Here is a 19,807-nt window from a genome sequence, read left to right on the forward strand (position 1 = left end):
CTGGTTAAGTAGGTCAGATATGAGGCCTTGTCATCTGTATTCAAAACAGCACCCAGGTGAATCTGATGCAGCTGGTCTGTGGGGTGAGCATGCATGACTCAATGGTTCAGGCCCCTGAGAGGCTCCTTTTGGGTTCTGGCTTCCAATCAGGACAAAGTCTCAAATTCTGAGATGGGTTTCCACCAGGCCCTTGCTCCAAGGCAAATATGCTTTCGGCTCTGCCCACTCCTGACTTGACTACTTTTTAGCACCTTGGGCAAGTCACTTTAGTTTTCCAAGTCTCAGTTTCCTCATCTGTAAAACTGAGTTAAAGGGCCCATCACAATGTCCTTTTCAGGGATTAAATAAGATGATGTTTGATCCATTATGGTGTTCTGAACACCAAACACAATGCTTGTCGTGAAATAGATGTTCATTAAATCTTCGCTGCATGAATGAATGAAGGTGAAGGCTTACATAGCACAGTATCTAGCGATACACTAAGTACCCAATACATGGCCACTAGTTTATTATTAACTGACCACCTGCTATGTGCTAAATGCACCATATTGGTTATTTCATGTACTCTGAATGGTAGCTCTAATAACTACCACCGCATTATAGAAGCAAATGAAGCACAGAAAAGCTGCTGACAAATCCAGCACTGACTGAATGAGGGACCTTGAACATTAAGGTAGGGACCAGGATTATGCTCAAGTCAGCCTGGCTGCCAATGGGAGTGTTCCTCTCTGATTCGCTCTCTATGTGTGGAATCAGCAATGCATTTCATCTCTTGTTGCTTAAAGGGGAAATGACTTCATTTTTCTGCTGTTCTCCTGGAGAGCCCCAATTCACCGGAGGAGTTCCCTGAAGTTCAACCAGCCTGGCCGACTGCTGTCTGACACCAGCAGCTTGGTCTTGAGGGAGGGGCATTCGGCGCTGATGGTGTCCACCCTTGGAGCTAGGGAGTCACTGGTGATAATGGACTTGGCCCTGGACGCGTGCAGCCGGTACTTGAGGTCCTTCTGCGTCAGCTGAGTGACACCTGGAATCATCACAGTCCCTGGCATAAAACAGAAGGGGATGTTGAGTGGATAGTAGGGAAGACTTTGGGTATAGAGGTAAGAGATGAAGGCAGGAAGGGGCTGGGGAGGGTTGGAATGCATGAGCTGGAAGAGGTAACAATAATAATAATAACAGCCTAAAAACCCTAGCCTTCTGAATAAGTGCGTGATCACTTACTCACTCAGCATCACTTAGTAGTCATCTTATGATTAGACAGAAATTTCTTTAAATGCCTGAAACCAATAAATCTCCCAGTCTTTGGGTGGGTGTTGGGGCACACCTTTAGCACTCAGCCAGGCAATTAACAATCCTGCCTTAGTCTTAATTTCCTGCATGCTCCAACTCTCAGTCTGCCAGAAGTGGGAGCCTAGAGTTTCCTCAGATCTTTCCTAAGCATGTGCAATGCCCTGGGAAAGCACACAGCCTTACTTACGTGTGTTGATTTCTAGATTTCCAGGAATACAATAGAATTTTTTAAAGCTCCCATAGACATTGGATTCTCCAGCTTTTCTTTTTTCACTCTTTGGTGAATCTATTGTTTGTCCCACTGTTATCCATCACCTTAGGCAACAATGAAGCTAAAACATTTGTCTGTAATTGTTTTGGACAAAAACCCCCAGGGAAAAGGCTTTTCTCATTGGTTGAGCTTCAAGTTGATTCAAATACAGTTTTACAAGTAGGGTCTTCCAAAGGACCAATGGGCAGCTCAAATAATAACAGTTCTTCATAAGTGAAGCTTTGAAAAAACTCCAACTCCATTCTGGCCCATCTAATGGTTGCTGTGATGCACCAGAAATGGGGGCTGTTATTTTTCAAGGCTACCACATAGCTGGACAGTCCTTATTCTACCATTTTTTTTCCTGACCTAATCCTGCTTGCTTGTTTTTATCATTAGGAGAAGTCTTCTAAGGATGCCCCTAGTATTGCAAAAAGAACTTCGATTTTTGTAGGCCATCAGTAATGGAGCATCCTGGCTTCATCTCTTACATGCAATTCTCATTTAATTCTCACTATTACTCTAAGTAGCATATGGTCTGACTACCATTTTACAGATGAGAAAGTTGAGATCTAAAGAACTTAGGGCACTTGTCCAAGGTCACACTTCATGTACATGGATGAACAATGTCTATCTGACTGCAAATCCTGCTTTTAAGTCTCAGTCATCCTCATACCACCTTCATAAGTTTCACCACATCTGCTGACAGTTAATTTTATTGTATCTACTAACAACGCCATTTACTTCATACTTTTTCTTTAAACAATCTCTTCTTATAATTAACATGAATACAATTCTTTGAATTAAATTTTATGTTTCCAGTTTTGTATTCTCCAGCTTTTCTTTTTTCACTTTTTGGTGAGTCTATTGTTTGTCCCTACTGTTATCCATCACCTTAGGCAACAATGAAGTTAAACATTTGTCTGTAATTGTTTTGGACAAAAAGCCCCTAGGGAAAAGGCTTTTCTCATTGGTTAAGCTTCACATTGGTTGAAATACAGTTTTACAAGTATGTCTTCCTCTTATAAATGAAAAGTTAGTATCATGTAACACAAATAAAAGGTAACCATGAAATAGAGAGACCCAACAGACACAGATATAAGAGAAAATAAAGAAGAAAGCAGATGCACAGAGACACACAAAGAAATCAGGGTTATCTTATTCAATTCTATGTATCTGTTATGATCTGCAAAAAGCTTTGAGCCTGAGCCCTATTCTTTCCTTATTTTATATTGTTTTGTTGTATTTTATTTTATTTTTTGAGGTGGAGTCTCACTCTGTTGTCTAGGCTGGAGTGCAGTGGCATGATCTTGGCTCACTGCAACCTCTGCCTCCTGAGTTCAAGCAATTCTCATGCTTCAGCCTCCAAAGTAGCTGGGACTACAGGTGTGCACCACCATGCCTGGGTAATTTTTTTTTTTTTTTTTTTTTGTATTTTTAGTAGAGATGGAGTTTCACCATGTTGGCGAGGCTGGTCTCGAACTCCTGACCTCAGGTGATCTGCCCTTCTCGGTGTCCCAAAGTGCTGGGATTATGGGCATGAGCCACCGCGCCCGGCCTTCTTTCCTTATTTAGAAGAGAAGGGCATGACAGTGAGAGAGAGACATCAAAGATAGAGTAGCAGCAAAACAAAACTTCCTCCTTCAGTTGATGAACAACTGGAAGGGAATCGGAAGGGACATAACTGTCTCACTGTGTGATTTGGGCTCAAGAACGCAGGACACTTCAGAGAAGGAACAAGCATGTCTAAGGCTCACAACACTGACTCAGAATTTTTTTCCTAAGTGTCAAATGCCAACAGTTTACATTTTAGAACTAGCAAAATTCCCAGGTCCAAATTTCCTCATCAACATGTCTTGGAGCCTTGAGTCTCATTGTGGTACATGAGGGCAGCCTCAGATGCCCCAGATGGACTCTAGGACAGAACAGGCTTCATCTCTTCCAGCCGACTCCACACATCCAGCACATCATGGGCAAAGTTGAAGTATTCAGGCACCGGCTGCCTTCCCAGGCTGATGGCTTCCCAGGTGGCCACGATCTTCTGAGGAACAGGTAGAGGTGCTGGCTGCCCACAAGACCCACAGAATGCCCTGGAGTTCCTCAGTGCCTGGAGGACTAGGTGTCTCAGCCATGGTCTCATGCGGTCGCCTCCTGTCTGTCACCAAAGAGAGGAAAGAGAGCATTGTCATAAATTCTGGGCTTTGGGGACAACACAGAGGTTAGGAGAAACCTGTGGTCAGTGCTGATGGTGACTGTGGTCCCTACTGACTTGTAGAACAAACTCTCCACATTTCTGAGCAGAAAGTCTCAGTTCTGCTGTGTGATGGTCATTTCTCTCCTCTGACCCCGAGGTCCGTCCTTTTGACCTCTCACTGACTTGTGGGTCTCTGGGTCTGAGGTCAGAACTCAGAGCCCACTTCTCCAGGCTCAATACTTCAAAGGCAATCCCTCAAAAAGCCTTTGGCCAATCCTGAACTGACCTTGCAAAGCTGAAGACAGCTCTGGGGCAGCACCGTCCAAAAGAAATAGAATGTGAGCCACCTGTGCAATTTACAATGTTCTAGTACCATTGCCAATAGTTTGCCAATCCTCTCCCTTGGAAAGAGATATGCGACTTGTTCTTCCCATTTGGTCTTTGTCCTGAAAACAACAAAACCCAGAAAGCAGCACCTCTGCAAGATTTCCCTGTGTATCCTTGCATTTTTGCAACTACATGGCCAATTGACAGGGAAAAGATCCAATTGATAGAGTGTCTCAAATTGTTCCAACATATAGAACATGAATAATAATTATTTTCGAACTCCTGTTCAAAGGAAAACTCACTGACATGAGACAAGTGACTTTTGGCAATTACCATCAACATTTTGTTATAAAAATGCTCATACATACAACATTGATTTGTTAACATTTTAATGAACATGACAACACATATCTACCCATCTTTCCATTCCTCTACCCATCCCTCAGCCCATCTTATTTTACATGTATTTCCAACTGAATTGGAGGCATCAACATACTTCCTGCTGAATAGTTTGGCAAGACTAACATTAACTAGAATTCAATATTTCTTTATAAAATTTTCTTCTAAAGAAGAGTGACATAGAAGAAAATATGCAAATCTTAAGTGTGAGTTTACTAACTTTGAAAAGTACCTACACCAGCATAACCCACCTCCTTTTCAAGATCTACACTATTATGTCACCACAGAAAGTGAACTCTCCCTCTTCCTAGCCAATCCCTTTCTCATAGTAGGTTAATTTTGCTTAGTCTGGAATTTCACATATATAGATGCATGCCATGCCATAGGTACTCTTTTGTGTCTGCCTTATTCTGCTCAACACAATGTTTCTGAAATCATTCCCATTGTTGCACAGATCTCTAATTCAATCCTTTCCATTTTGGACTCAGCATATTCTGAGTTTAACCTGTTGAATGGCTATCTCTGTTTAATTCGCCATCTTGAAACATTTAAAATTAAGATGTTTTCAAGAATATACAGTTAAATCCAAGGAATCAATGTAGGAATGTTATCAGAAGGTGTTGGAAGTTACTCAGGTGAAATCTTTGTCTTAATTCACGTAAGAGTCTAATGGAATTAATATCAAGAATCTTAGAGAAACCCCATACTATTCATGCCATTTTTATGACCTCTACATTGGTTATGTTTAAGCACTAAAATTTGATACTTATTTCTGAATGAAATCATCTCTTTATTGTATTTTTTTTACTTATGCTGATCTTTAAATAGCAAAAATTCATGTACTCTAAGAAAGAAGTATGATTCAGAGGGATTCTTTCATCATATGGTACATGACAAATAGATACAATGTCATATTCAATTTAAAACATAAGTAAATATAAGTAAATAAGTAAATAAAAGTAAATAACTTTAAAGAAAAGGTAATTACCTTATACCTAGCTTGTCTAACCCACAGCTGACAGGCCACATGCAGCCCAGGACAGCTTTGAATGCAACCCAAAATGAATGTGTAAACTTTCTTAAAACATTATGAGTTTTTTGTGTGTTTCTTATAGCTCATCAGCTATTGATAGTGTTAGTGTATTTTATGTGTGGCCCAAGTTGAAGAAAATTCTCCATCTTCTAATATAGCCCAAGGAAGCCAAAAGATTGGACATCCCTGCTTTAGACCAAGAAAAAAGACACACCACATTCACAAAGCCTAAGAAGACTACCAGCCATGCGAGAAACATGGGACTGGTAATTTCCAATCTTTCTTGAAACGGTGGAATCCCCTGGTGATATCTGAGGGTGCACTTACTTCTTGGAGGAGGTTGAGGGTTTCTAAGGATAATTCTTTGTGACTGAAATATTGTAAATGTCATTGACCCTTCTCATTATTTCAACTGCTATTATTCCAGGTCATCAATTTTCTGCCTGGCCATCTTCATCCTGGGCCTGACTTTTTTTGAATTCCTTGGATGCTTAACATTGTTGTTGTGTTCCTGGGAATTATTAAATTTGCCATTTTCTTCTGGAATACTAGCTTTGGTATGAGTATACTGACTTCCTGTAGAGGTATACTTGTAATCATAAATAAGAAGAAATCATTTTAAACAATTCATGGTTCTGGACTTCATTATGAATATTGGGTTTTACCAAAAAAATCAGAAAAAAATAATTTATTAGCAGAAGAATTATAAAAATAGCTGCCATTTACATTATGAAAATTAAATAGGTTTGCATTTGTTTAGTAGGATGCCAACAGAGCTTTTGGTCAAAAGTATTTTTTTTTTTTTACCTTTGTTCTCTTTATCCATGAGGGCAAAGATCATGTAAAACAATTTTGAGCATATAGTAGTTGCTTAACTAATAGGCATTGGATGAGTTATTAATTTGTGATAATAGTTCTTTCCCCTTAAATCTGATTGTTTGTTATTATGTTAATTCTGAGTCCAGAAACACAAATTTTTTAAGTGTTGATTTCTTGGATTTTTTAATGTGCTATTGCGCTTATTTTAAAGGCTAGTAAAACTGATCTTCTAAACAATTGCTATTCTCCTAGTAAATGTTCCTTCAATGGTAATGGAAGCCATGTGCAGACAAGACACCCTGCAGCCCTTCAATAAGAGCTGGCAGGCTGGCTGGATGAGAGGCTGGCCAAGGGGGCAGCTAGGAGGCTGGTCCAGAGGAAGTCTGAGAGGCCGGCACTCAGACCTCTCAGAGAGACTGGCTGAGAGGCTGTCTGGATTAAGAGCCAGACAAGAGGCTGCCTGAGAGGCTGTATGAGAGGCTGGCTGCCTCAGAGGTTGACTGGTTGAAAGGCTGGCTTAGAGGCAGGCTGAGAGGATGGCTGGATTAGAGGCTTGCTGAGATGCTGACTGGTAAGTTGGCTGGCTGAGAGGCTGGACAAGGGGGTGGCTGAAAGGCTTGCCAAGAGGCCGGCTGGCAATCTGGTACAGAGGCTGGCTGAGAGGCTGGTCCAGAGGATGGCGGCATGGGAGGCTGACCAAAAGGCAGGCCAGGAAGCTGGTTGGGAGGCTGTTTGAGAGACTGGCTGGGGAGGCTTGGAGAAAAGCTGGCTGAGAAGATGGCAGGCTGATAATCTCACTGACCGAGAGGCTAGCTTAGAGGCTTGCTGAGAGGGTGACTGGCTGAGAGGCTTATTGATAGGTTGGCGGGAAGGCTGGCTGGCTGAGAGGCCAGTCAAGGGGGTCTTGGAAGCTGGCCAAGAAGCCAGCTGCCTGGATGGCCAAGAGGACACCTGAGAGGCTGGCCGAGAGGCTGACTGGGAGGCTGTTTGAGAAGCTTGCTGCCTGAGAGGCTGGCTCAGAAGCTGCCTGGTTGAGAGGCTGGCTGAGAGGCTTGCTCAGACGCTGGCTGGCAGGTTGGCTGGCTGAGGGGCCACCCAAGGGTGTGGCTGGGAGGCTTGCTGAGAGACCAGGTGTCTCTCTGGTTGAGAGGCCAACTGGGAGGCTAGTCAAGAAGCCAGCTGGAAGGCTGGCTGAGAGGCTAGCCGGGAGGCTCCTTGAGAGGCTAGCAGTCTTGCTGACTGAGAAGCTGGCTGATAGGCTGGTCCAGAGGATGGCTGCATCAGAGGCTTCCAAAGAGGCAGACTGGGACGATGGCCTAGAGGGCTGTATGGGAGGCTGTGTGACAGGCTGGCTGGCTGAATGGGCTAGCGACTGGCTGAGAGAATGGCTGGCTGAGAATCTGCCTGGCTGAGAGAGGCTGGCTGCCTGAGAGGCTTGTTCAGAGGATGCCTGGTGGAGAGGCTGGCTTAGAGATTGACTGAGAGGCTGGCCGAGAGGCTGGCTGGGAGGCTGTTTGAGAGGCTGGGTGAGAAGATGACTGTTTCAAAGGCTGTCTGACTGACTGGCTGAGCTAATTAGAGGCTTACTGAGAGGCTGGATGGCTGAGAGGCTGGCTAGGAGGTTGTTTGAGACGCTGGGTGAGAAAATGACTGTTTCAAAGGCCATCTGACTGACTGGCTGAGTTAGAGTCTTACTGAGAGGCTGGCTGGCTGAGAGGCTTGCTGAGAGGCAGGATGGCAGACAGCCTGGCTGAGAGCTGGCTGCCTAAAAGGTCGGCTGAGAGGCTGCCTGAGAAGCTTGCTTGCTGAGAGGCCAGCTGGCAGGTTGGCTGGCTGAGAGGCTGGCAAAAAGGGCAGCTGTGAGTCTGGCCAAGAGGCTGGCAGTCTGGCTGGCAGTCTGGCTGGCTGAGAGGTTGACTGGAGGGCTAAATGAAAGACTGGCTGCATGGCCAAATGGCTGGCTGGGAGGCAGGCAGAGTGGCAAGTTGAGTGAATGGCTTGCTGAGAGCCTGGCTGTGAGGTTGCCAGGCTGAGAGGCTTGCTGAGAGTATGGCTGGCTTAGTACCTGGGAGAAAGTCTGGATGGGAGGGTGGCTGGCTGGGGAACTGGCCAAGGGGCCACCTGGGAGGCTGGCCAATGAGAGGCCAGCTGGGAGGGTAGCAGAGAGGCTGGATGAAGGGTGGCTGCCTGAGAGGCTTGCTCGCTGAGAGTCTGGCTGACTAGCTGTATTAAAGGTTGGCTGTGTGGTTTGCTGGGGGCCTGGTAGAGGGGCTGGTTGTGAGGCTGCATGACAGGCCTTCTGGCTGATAGGCTGGCAGGCTGGCAGTCTGGCCAAGAGACTTGCTGGGTGGCTTGCCGAGTGGATGGCTAAGAGGCTGGTTGAGAGGCTGGCTGGGGAGGCCAGCAGAGAGGTGGCTGGTTGGCTGGCTGAGAATCTGCCTGGCTGACAGGCTGGGTTAGAATCTTGTTGAGAGGCTGGCTGGCTGAGAGGCTTGCTGAGAGGTTGGCTGGTTGGTTGGCTGGCTGAGAGATCGGCCAATGCCGGGCTGGGATGCTGGCCAAAGGACGCCTGGGAGGTTGGCCGACAGTCCAGCTGGGAGGCTTGCTGAGAGGCTGGTTGGAAAGTTGGCTAAGAGGCTGCCTGGAAGCCTGGGTGAGAGGACAGATGGGGGGCTGGCTCTGAATCTGCATGGCTGAGAGACTGGCTTAGAAGATTTATGAAAAGCTGGCTTAGAGGCTGTTTGAGAGGCTGGCTGTCTGAGAGGCTGACTCTGAGACCTCCTTGCTGAGAGACTGGCTTAGTGGCTTGCTGAGGGGCTTGCTAGCTGAGAGGCTTTTTGAGGGCCTGATTAGCAGGCTAGCTGGCTGAGGCAAGTCAAGGGGGTGACTTGGAGGATGGTCGAAGGGCCATCTAGCTCACTGGTCAAGAGGCTCGCTGGGAGGCTGGTTGAGAGGCTGGCTCCCTTGATGGTTGGGAGGCTGGCTGATAGGCTGGTCCAGAGGATGGCTGCATGGGAGACTGGAGAAAAGGCAGGCTGGGGGGCTGGATATCAGGCTGTTTAGAGGCTGTTTTAGAGGCTGTCTGGGGAGTCTGGCCAAGTGCAGGCTGTGTAGCTAGCTGAGAGGGTGGAGGTGAGAATGGCTGACTGAGAATCTGCATGGTTGAGAGGCTGGGTTAGAGGCTTGCTGAGATGCTGGCTGGCTGAGAGGCTTGTTGGGAGGTTGAGAGGTTGGCTGCCTGAGAGGCTAGCTCAGAGACCACGTTGTTGAGAGGCTGGCTTAGTGGCTTGCTGAGAGGCTGGCTTGCTGAGAGACTTGCCAAGAGGCTGGGAAGCAGGCTAGCTGGCTGAGACGCTGGTCAATGGGGCGTCTTGGAGGCTGGCCGAGAGGATGTCTGAGAGGATGGCTGGCTGTGTTTCTGCCTGGCTGAGAGGCTGGCTTAGAGGTTTGCTGAGAGGTTGGCTGGCTGAGAGGCTTTCCGAGAGCCTGGTGGTATGTTACAGAGGATGGCTGCTTGACAGGCTGGCTCATAGGCTGCCTGGTGGAGAGGCTCACTTAAAGGCCAGCTGAGAGGCAGGTTGAGAGGTTTACTTGCTTAGAAGCTGGCTGGCAGGCTGGCTGGCTGGCTGAGAGTTTGCTTGGTTGGCTATCTTAAAGGCTGGCCAAGTAGCTTGTTGTGAGGCTGGATGGCAGGCTTTCCGGCTGAGAGGCGGTCTGTCTGACTGAGTGTCTGACTTAGTGTCTGGCTGAGAGGCTGCCTGGTTGAGAGGCTGGCTTAGAGGCTTGCTGTGAGGCTGGCTGGCTGAGGCTTGCTGTGCGGATGGCTGGCTGAGGCTTGCTGAGATGCCGACTGGCCGGTTGGCTGGCAGAGATGCCAGCCAATGGTGCAGCTGGGAGGCTTGCTGAGAGGCTGGCTGGCTCGCTGGTATAGAGGCCACTTAGGAAGCCAGTCAAGAGGCCAGCTGGGAGACGGACTCAGAGGCTGGCTGTCCTGCTGGCTGAGAGAGTGGCTCATAGCCTGGTCCAGAGGATAGCTGCAAGGGAGGCTGGGGAAAAGGCAGGCTGGGAGTCTGGCCTAGAGGCTGTCTGGGAGGCTGTTTAACAGGCTGGCTGGGGAAACCAGCTGAGAGGCTGGTTGACTGGTTGGCTGAGAAGCAGGCTGAGAAAATGCCAGGCTGAGAATCTGCCTGACTGAGAGGCTGGCTGAGATGTTTGCTGAGACAATGGCTGGCTAACTGTCTTGCTGAGAGGCTGGCCATGAAGCTGTTTGAGAGGCTGGCTGAGGAGGCTGAGCAAGAAGCCGGCAGGCAGGCTGACTGAGAGGCTGGCTGTCTGGCTGTTTGAGAGACTGGCTGTCTGGCTGTTTGAGAGACTGGCTGTCTGGCTGTTTGAGAGACTGGTTGAGCGGAAGTCTGGCTGAGAATCTACCTGGCTGAGAAGCCAGTTTAGAGGCCTGTTGAGAGGACGGCTGACTGAGAGACTTCTAAGAGTCTGTTTGAGAGGGTGGCTGCTTGAGAGGATGGCTGAGAGGCTGCCTGGCTGAGAGGCTGTCTTAGAGGCTTGCTGAGAGGTTGGCTATCAGGCTGACTGACTGAGAGGCTGGCAAAGGTGGTGCATATAGGCTGGCCAAGAGGACACCTGGGAGGCTGGGCAAGAGGTTAAATGCATGAGAGCCTGGATGAGAGACTGACTGGGAGGCTGTTTGACAAGCTGGCTGCCTAAAAGCCTGGCTCAAAAGCTGCCTGGTTGAGAGGCTGGCTTAGAGGCTTGCTGAGAAGCTGGCTGTATTAAAGGCTTGCCTAGAGCATGGTTGTCAGGCTGGCTGGCTGTCAGGCTGAGCAAGGGTTTATCTGGAAGGCTGGTCAAGATGCAGTCTGGGTGGCTGCCTGGCTGAGAGGCTGGTTGCCTGGGAAGCTGGCTGAGAGGCTGCCTGCCTGCAAGTCTGGCTTAGAGGGTTACTGAGAGGCTGGCTGGATTAGAGGCTTGCCTGGAGGCCAGCTAGTAGGTGGGCTGGCTGAGAGGCTAGCTGCTTGAAAGGGCAGTTGAGAGGCTGGCTGAGAGGCTGGCTGGGAGGCTGTTTGAGAGGCTGGCTGCCTGAGAGACTGGCTCAGAGGCTGCCTGGTTGAGAGGCTGGCTTAGAGACTTCCTGAGAGCCTGGCTGGTTGAGAAGCTTGCTAAGAGACTGGCTGGCAGGTTGGCTGGCTGAGAGATCTGCCAAGGGGGTGGCTTGGAATCTTGCCCAGAGGTGGGCTGGCTCCCTGGTTTAGAGGTTACCTCGAAGGCTCACCAACAGACTGCCTGGGAGGCTGGCAGAGAGACCCACAGGCTAGCTGTCTTAAAGGCCAGCTGGGAGGCTGGCCGAATGGCTGGGTGAGAGTCTGACCTAGAAGAGGGCTGGGAGGCTGGGCTGGCTGAGCTGCTGGCTGGCCAAGAGGCTGGATTAGAGGCTGAGTGGCTGGCTGGCTCAGACACCTCAGAGCCCTGGTCCATGGGTTTTCTTAACTATCAACCGCCTCTGGACAGGTAGGGCTCTAAGAAGCTACAAATGAGCTCTAAATCAGGGGTTCCCAGTACACATCAGAAAAAAGATCACTCATCCTGTAAACAGAGACTAAAATTTAAAATAGAAACAGCCATGGATTGGAAGAATATCAATAAACCCTGAAAAGAAACAGCACTGCTCCTTTTCTTCAAATCGTGTGGACATTTAAAGTTCTGTACATTTATAGCTACTTTAACTTTCATATCTGTCCAGGTACTATCAAAATGTAAGAACAGAAATGGACATAAACTGACTAGAAGTACTGAGAAAAGGTAAGAGTGTCAGAAATTAACTGAAAAGTTTTAGGGTTACACCTAGAATGTTAGAAGAGTAAGATTACATGGAAATTTAATTTCCTAATGGAGTTATATTATATAGTCCACAATAAACAATTAAACAAAAAAATGAAGCTCCAAAAAATGTAAATAAATGCTTCTTTTCTTAAACCAGACCTCATGGTGCAATATTGATCTATGAAGACATAGCCAGAAAACGTCTGCTCTCATCAGCACATATAGCTCCCATTCTAAAATGTTATTGGTATTACTTTTCTCAAATGAAGGAAAAATAAAGCCTAGATGCTGACCGAAGGTGGAAGGGGAGCTGGTCCCTTTGCTTTCTAGGCTCCTCTTCTCAGTTAAAAGTAACCAAGATGTCAGAGTGGGGCAACGTCCACAGTCAGTGGATGATCCTGAGCTCTGCCATTCTCAGGGGACCATCGAAAAGACATTCAGCTAGGGCATCTGAGAAAAATAGGGTCCTGCCACCAAGAGAGACACATGTTCTCTGTAGTAAGTGCTTAGAATTGCTTCCAGGAAATATAATTGTTACCCCACCTGAGCTCTCAACCCCAAAAGGAGAAGCAGGGTGTGTGGATTGTGCAGCAGAAGTGACTACCTTCACAGTGAGCTCCTACCTCTCCAGAAAGTGCTCTCTAGGCCCAGTTGTCCCTGGGCTGGCTCCTGACTCTTGTGTATCTCCATGACTCTCTGCTTTTCCATCATTTCCCATCTGGAAGACAGAGAAAGAATTCACTTGAAGAAGAATTAAAACACCAAGTTCTTTACTAGACACTCAAAGCTTCATCTGAAAACAAAAACATCCTTAAAAATGTCTATCACAATTACCTACCTGTGCTGCTTGTAGGCAGCCTTCCTCTCTGCCATCTCCCTCTACAAGGCTTTTGCACAGAGCTGTGGGGAGAAAAATACATCCACGTGCTGACCTGGCAGACTATGCCCAAAAGCAAGGGGGAAAAACTGTCCAGTTGTCAAGGGCCTTTCTTATAGAAGGGACAATCTGAAAAAAACCAACACATGAGAAATTCTATGTTGAGAGAGTCTAACGGCCATGGCATCATCCACATCAGCACCGAAGGAGCCTACAACTGTGGGGAGGAAGCTCCTTACCTTGCGTCTGTAGTAGCTTTCTACTCACCCCCAAAGCTCTTGGGTGTCTTGAATTATTTTCCAATGGTTTAGAATCACTTTCATCAAATAAGCACCATTTCAGTATGATTTTAAATAATCTGCCATGTTTCTGTTATCCTCACAACTGCACCCTTACACTATCTATACACAGAAGATGTATTTCACATGGTTTTCAAAGTACAGTATGATCAAAACTGTTGCTATAATGATTCTTCCTCTTTTACTTAATGCCTGCTGGGTTCTGAGTTCACATTGTCCTTACCCATTCTCATTCATCCTTCATTGGGCATCTTTGATTATAAAGCTCTAGTCTCCTTGTATTAATATCCTTGCCATATTTCACAGAGTAGAAACGGCTGGGCACAGTCCATTTGAAAAAATGTGGTTGATCCTACAACACGCTTTTCTAAGAATGACGGCAACGGATACCACCCCTACAATGGCAGAAATGAACTGAGTTTCTACACAGTCTGACCCCATTGGGGTCAGATGTTTTGCTACTTCACATGTCTTGGTCACTGATAAATCTTAAGGTATTTTGTTTTCTCTTGTGTGAATTCTCTCTTTCTCTAAATATGTCTTCTGACCATTTGTTTGTATTTCTGTGTTAACTGGGTCTAAACATTGTACAAAAGTTAAAAACAAAATACTCCAGTGGAAGTTTCCCATGTGGCTGGTGTTCAGTTTCTGAACTCACTTGTAGGTGTGAATTTTTTCCATAACCCATTTCCCTTTTTCCTCCACCTCTGACAGCTGCCTCTCTTTTTCTGCTCACTCACATTCTTTCATTCTCAGCTTCCTGAGATGAAAACGGAGAGAAATGCACACACATGATCCACTTGCCCATGTGGGATTCTTTCTGCCATTCTGGCATCTGAAGGCCATGATTCAAAGGTCCCCCACTGCCTTCCCATACATGAAACAACTGATATTCAACACTGGGGAGGAAGAATTGACACCTCCCATTGACAGACAGAAAGAATTTAAAAAAAAAAACAACACTCTGGCCTGTTAGCAAGTCACCTGTAATTTCCAGCTCGTCTTTGTGTCTCCATAGTCCTATTCTTAAGTAAATAAGGACCATTAGAAGCTTCTATGAGATGTGCTATGTGTACTTCTGGGGTCAGTCTTGTGCTTGACACACTGAAAGCTCATTTTAGTTCACTGTGGAAAATCAGATCTCACCAACTCATCACAACTAACTCCATCAAGATGGAGCAGGGGATCACTCTTCATCTGACTCCTCCCATAGGAAGACCTGATTCTCATTTACAGGCTGATGCCAGAACCCAGACAATTAGCCTTTGAGAGATCCTTCCAGGACATGATGTCCTTAACCCTGCAGTTCACTACAGCATGTTTCCATGACTCAGGACTGGAACTCTTGTCATTGACCTGAAGGCAAGAAACTGTTCTCCTTTCCAGGGCAAACTCATTTCCATACTATGGGGACTCCAACAGACAGCATAACTTCCTGGCTCTGCTTGTTGGACCTCCAAGCTCTCTGCTGCAGATCTGTGGATCCATCATTTACATTTCATGACTTTGAGACAGACTTGGGAAAAGACATCTAGGAAATAACTGAAAAATGACATGAGAATACCTCACACCTGAACTGTACACTTCAACATTGTTAAGACGGCAATGGTCATGTTATAAATGTTTTATTATGAATATTTTACCACAGGTTAAAATGTTTAACAATTTGAAAAGGAAGTAATTATCTTCAGTTCTCTAAGTTCTAGAATTTGTAACATTTCACCCCCTGCTCCTTCCCGATCCGGAGCAGAGCATCTTATTCTTTCCCTGCTCTACTCAGGATTCACTTTCCCTTATGTAACAAAAACATTGCAAATATTTTTTAAAATAATTACAAAACTTTACCTAGAAATCTGTAATTCAAATTAAAATGGAGATTAAAAATACAAACTCACAATGGTCAGGAAGCCAAGATCTTTTTTTAAATATTTATAAATTTGCATTACACTATTTGTAATATGTCCAAAAATATGTCCACACTGTATGGAAGAATGGGAAAAATATAAGAAAAAAAGGCTTACGGTTATAGATGAAAATATTACATAAAGACATGTTTATATATACACAAAACTGAGAGAGGACAGCTGCTGTAATAATAATACCTGGGTTATATTTCAACAAAATAAACACAGACTGTTGTTTAGCCCAAGTTTATAAAAACATTAACTTTTGAAAATTAATGTTCACTTTGCTGCTGAAACAGCTGCACTTCATGTCAGATTTTCAAAGTCCATAAAGATTTGCATAACATAGTCTTCCTGGAATTATAATTCAAACCGAGAGAATTGAAGTTAGTTAAAAACACAATACCAAGACACCAATAACAGGAGTTCCCCTTCATATTTTAGAGCATTGCACATAAAGAAAGCAATCAGTAGCAACCTTGGAAATCCATATGGAAAGCAATAAAAACTTTCTGGGATGTATAGCCACTGCCACAAAAGGCACACATATTATTTTACAAACACTAGATTTATGAGTACTGGGGGAGAAAATGAATACGAAATGTAATTCAGACCAACTGACATACCAAGACTCACTTTTGTGCAAACAAAACATCTCTAAAAAGCAGCCTCTGAGCTCTGCAGCACTTTCATCTTCAGCCTCACAGTGGAGGTGAGTGCGGCCTGGGCTCCTGGGAAGGACACACTGTTTCTGAGTAGCCTCTGTCTGAAAGGGACCAGGAGCTCTGGGCACAATGGTTAAAGATGTGGATCAAATGCACGAGAAGGACAAAGGCCATCTTTTCATTGACCAGGAAAACAACCCCCATCTTGGGCACTCTTGTCACATCTGACAACTATCTGGATGCAGCTTATCAGTAGTGGGCTCCTACCTAGATTAGGTCCAAAGGGGCAAGGAAAGCTTAGGTTCTGACAGTCGACGGCCATGAGCAAGGGTGAAGGTGGAAAATGCAATGAGGAAAACTTATCCAAGTCTTCAAAGGTGAGGTAGGGAAAGAGAGTTTAACTGATCTATGAAAATGCAGCCAGGTAAGGAGAAAAAAATTCCAACAAAGATTATCAAGACATTTCCTTCTTCATAACCTCAAAAGAAACAACAAATTCTTCTTTGGTTGGAGGTACTCATGCGAGGTGATTCTGCCTTGATGCAGTGGTTGCTCCCCATCACTAGACTTTTCCAGATCCCTCTCTAAGAATCTGGTGCATGCCGGTCAGAACAAATACTCTCATCTCTATAAGGTGCCCTCTCCTGAGGGTAGTGGTGAGGCTTATAATGTGAGGGTGGAAACTTTCAAAGTAAAAACCTGTCATTTCTTTATGTTTGGACACTCATAGGACTTTAAGACTCTTTCTGCTTTGGGTAAATCAATGATCTACACAAGACACATTTTACAAAACAAAGGTCAGTAGAGTTCTCATTCACATCCTGGTCATGTCACTCCTAGTGACTCCCGCATTGCAAACATCCCAGCAGGATGCAACCCTTTCCTCTCCCATCTGATTGGCTTCTCAGGCTACCTTCACACCGATTGGACATAGACTCCCTGGAGGCAGCTCCCAAGAGGAGAACACATGGATGACTCCAAAGTTTCTAAACAAATCATCAAACCAGATGACACAAAACTCAAATGACATTTCACTTTTTTGTTTTGTTTTGTTTGAGACAAGGTCTCACTCTGTCACCCAGGCTGGAGTGCAGTGGCACAATCTTGGCTCACTGCAGCCTCCACCTCCTGGGTCCAAGCGATCTGCCCACCTCAGCCTGGGACTACAGGCATGCCCCACCAGGCTAGACCAACTTTTTTTTTTTTTAATCTTTCATAGAGACGGGGTTTTGCTATGATGCTTAGGCTGGTCTTGAACTCCTGGACACAAGCGATCTGCCCACCTCGGCCCCCACAGTGTGTGAGGAGTACAGGCTGTGTAGTTTTATGCCGCCTGACACTACCCAACAAAAAGGAAGAAACCCCATGGGTCCAGCATCTACTTACATGGGTGGGTTGATGGCTAGAAAACCCCTGCAGGAGGAGCCAAAACAGCAGCCACCACGCAGGTATGTCCTGGTCCTCTCAGGGCACCCTGAGGTGGCCAGGACAGAGGTGGGAGTGGCTTAGGACTGGGGGAAGGAAGGGGATAGGGATGGGGGTGGGATTGCAGTTGAGGAGGGAGGGGGAGGGCAGGGAAAAGGAGGGAAGGGAAGGGAGGGCTGTTGGGCACCCAGAGCAGGAGGAAGACAAGGGGCTCTGGGAAAGGATCTGGTTCAAACTAAGTCCTCAAGCACCGGTGGGAGATTCAGCTACAGGTTAGAGAGAAAGGCGATCAGCTATCAGTGAAGCAGCAGGACACTTGGGGCAGGGGAGTGGGAGGCTCAGGAGCAGGACTCTGGTTTCCGCCAAACCTTCTCCTGTCTGGAAGCTGCCTTAGCAAATCCTGAGGCTTTATACTCCCTCTTCACAAATCCCCAGCCCGGTACTTGGTGCCTCACAGTGGACAATCCACAAGAAGCTCGTGTTCTTCCAAGGTCCCCTCCCCCCACCTGAACCCCCACCCCCAACCCAAGGACAAGTCCTCTCTGGAACCTTCGCAGACCTTCTGATTTCTGGGTGCCAGCCCACTCTGGCCCAGGGTAGGGTCCTGGGGGGCACACCTCTCTTTCTCTCTTGACTTCTAGATCTGCTAAGCGCCATGCAACACCGCCCTGTCTAAACATACCCACACAGGGTCCCAGGCTCAACCCTGTGCCCCTGTCCCCACAGTCACCAACCCTGGCCTCTCTGGCATCTCAGGGCCCAGGAACAGCCCTTCTGAAGGCCCTGGAAGGGGCACACACCCAGCCCTGGGTTTGGAACCTGGAACATATCCCCTTCCAAGAGAGCTCAGGAGGGCCAGGTCATGCCTGGGTCTGTTCTCTCCACTGCCTTAGGAGTGCCCTGTGGAGTGCCATCGCCGTGTGGTTGTCCTGTGGGCTGGGGTCTGGGACTGTGTGCATGTCTGGATGTGTTAATCTGCACGTATGCACCTGTGCGTCTGAGTATCTGTGAGTATGTCACCGTGTAGCTGTCTCTGGATAGCTCTGTTTTTCTCTATCTTTGTATGCATTTGTGTGTCTTTCTTCCTGAATGAGTGTGTGTTTGTTGTACAAATATGTGTGTTTGTGACTGTGTAATGTGTCTCTGGGCATGTATGCCCCTGTGAGAGTGTCTGTGTATGCCTGTGTTCTGTATCTGTGTGTGTTGTTTGGTGTGTGTGTGTATGTGTGTGTTGTGTGTGTGTGAATTCGCCTCTCCTTTGGGCATCCCTGATTGTGTCTCTATTTGTTTATGTTTCTCTTAATGTCTGTGTTCTCTGTCTGTTTCCCTGCCTGTAGGTCTGTGACTGTGTGTGTGTGTGTGTGTGTGTGCATGCACGAGTGTCCATTGTGTGTGGGGTCTGCCCTGTGGGGCTGTGTCTCATGGCCTTGTGTATCTGTGGTCTCCTGGTGGGTGTGTGTGTGTGTGTGTGTGTGTGTGTGTGTGTGTGTGTAAGCCTGTCTGTGGGCCAAACTGCTGAGTGCCCAGGTGAAGCTGGGGCGGTTCTGTGCCTTTGTGTCTCTGTGCTTGTGGTGTCTATTTATTTACCTGTGAGTTCCTGGGTTTGTACACCTAAGAAATTGGCAGTCACAGAGGGCCCTCTGTGGGTGAGAAGGGGACAATATGTGCTCCTCTCATTCCCAGGCTAGGCCCTTTCTGCCCCTGCTCTTCTGAGCCTCTGTTGGCCCCCTGGTAGTTCCCTCTTAGGCCCCAAGGAGGGATGGAGAAAAGGGTCAGGTTACAGAATTCCAGGCCAAGGATGTGAGGAGGGCTCCAGATGCCTGGACAGGGTTACATTCAAAGAAGGAAAATTGTCTGTGGTCAAGGAATTCTGGACTACAGGGACCCTAGGCCCTGGGAGGGTGAATGAGTGGGGTCCTCTGGCAAGGGCTGGGGGACAGAGTTCCTGGGTCACTTGGAAGATCTGATATGTAGGGTCCTACAGGGGAAAGCTGGAGGCAGGGCTCCTAGGCCCATGGCAGGGCTGCAGGAGTCCTGGGTCCCTAGAGGTTGGGGCTCTCACTCACACACACCATAGGTTGGGATGCATGTGCACATGGGCATTATTGGGGGACACAAAGGCAGAAGCCCATTGGGCGGAAGATCATTGAGTGGAAGACCACTGGGTGGAAGCCCATTGGGTGGGGTGGCAGAGGTGGTCTGGCAGGCAAATGTAGTCCCCAAACCAAGGCTGACCACCCTGGACATCCGTCCTGCCCTGGCCTTGCTGGGGCCTCATCCAGACCATGGGCAGGTGCCTGGAGCCACATGGGGCATCCCTCCTGTACCCCTGTGTCCTGGCTATTGAAGGGTGCTTAGGTAACCCTGAGATGCTGGTGCCAGGAGGGAGAATCTGGTCCCAAGTTATCTCAGGTTAGAGATTAGGGAGAATTACAGAGGGAGGGCATTTAACATAGGTTAATTCCCTGAATAAATGCTCAACACAGGGTA

At 47.1% G+C, this 19,807-nt stretch overlaps 1 long non-coding RNA gene and 1 pseudogene across 1 annotated transcript, besides 2 other annotated features; one reads left to right on the forward strand and one right to left on the reverse strand.

Annotated features, from left to right (window-relative positions):
* Positions 416-1,615: an enhancer, noted in NCBI's record as "MED14-independent group 3 enhancer chr16:20615165-20616364 (GRCh37/hg19 assembly coordinates)". NCBI's record gives its function as "activates an origin of replication core promoter dependent on BRD2, BRD4, P300/CBP and CDK7 cofactors, and independent of MED14, by STARR-seq in HCT116 cells {active_cell/tissue: HCT116}" and the evidence as "EXISTENCE:reporter gene assay evidence [ECO:0000049][PMID:35650434]".
* ACSM5P1 (acyl-CoA synthetase medium chain family member 5 pseudogene 1) lies at positions 485-3,742 on the reverse strand (annotated as a pseudogene).
* Positions 6,751-15,190, forward strand: LOC107984831 (uncharacterized). Its single transcript, XR_001752102.1, has 3 exons — positions 6,751-6,883; positions 12,068-12,126; positions 13,630-15,190. It is a non-coding gene; the product is annotated as an uncharacterized LOC107984831 (long non-coding RNA).
* Positions 10,344-10,843: an enhancer, noted in NCBI's record as "H3K4me1 hESC enhancer chr16:20625093-20625592 (GRCh37/hg19 assembly coordinates)". NCBI's record gives its function as "activates a minimal SCP1, AML or CMV promoter by ChIP-STARR-seq in primed H9 embryonic stem cells {active_cell/tissue: H9 hESC(primed)}" and the evidence as "EXISTENCE:reporter gene assay evidence [ECO:0000049][PMID:30033119]".
* Positions 15,191-19,807: the final 4,617 nt, after the last annotated feature.

The sequence above is a fragment of the Homo sapiens genome, chromosome 16 (genome assembly GCF_000001405.40).
Source record: "Homo sapiens chromosome 16, GRCh38.p14 Primary Assembly".
Lineage (NCBI taxonomy): Eukaryota > Metazoa > Chordata > Mammalia > Primates > Hominidae > Homo > Homo sapiens.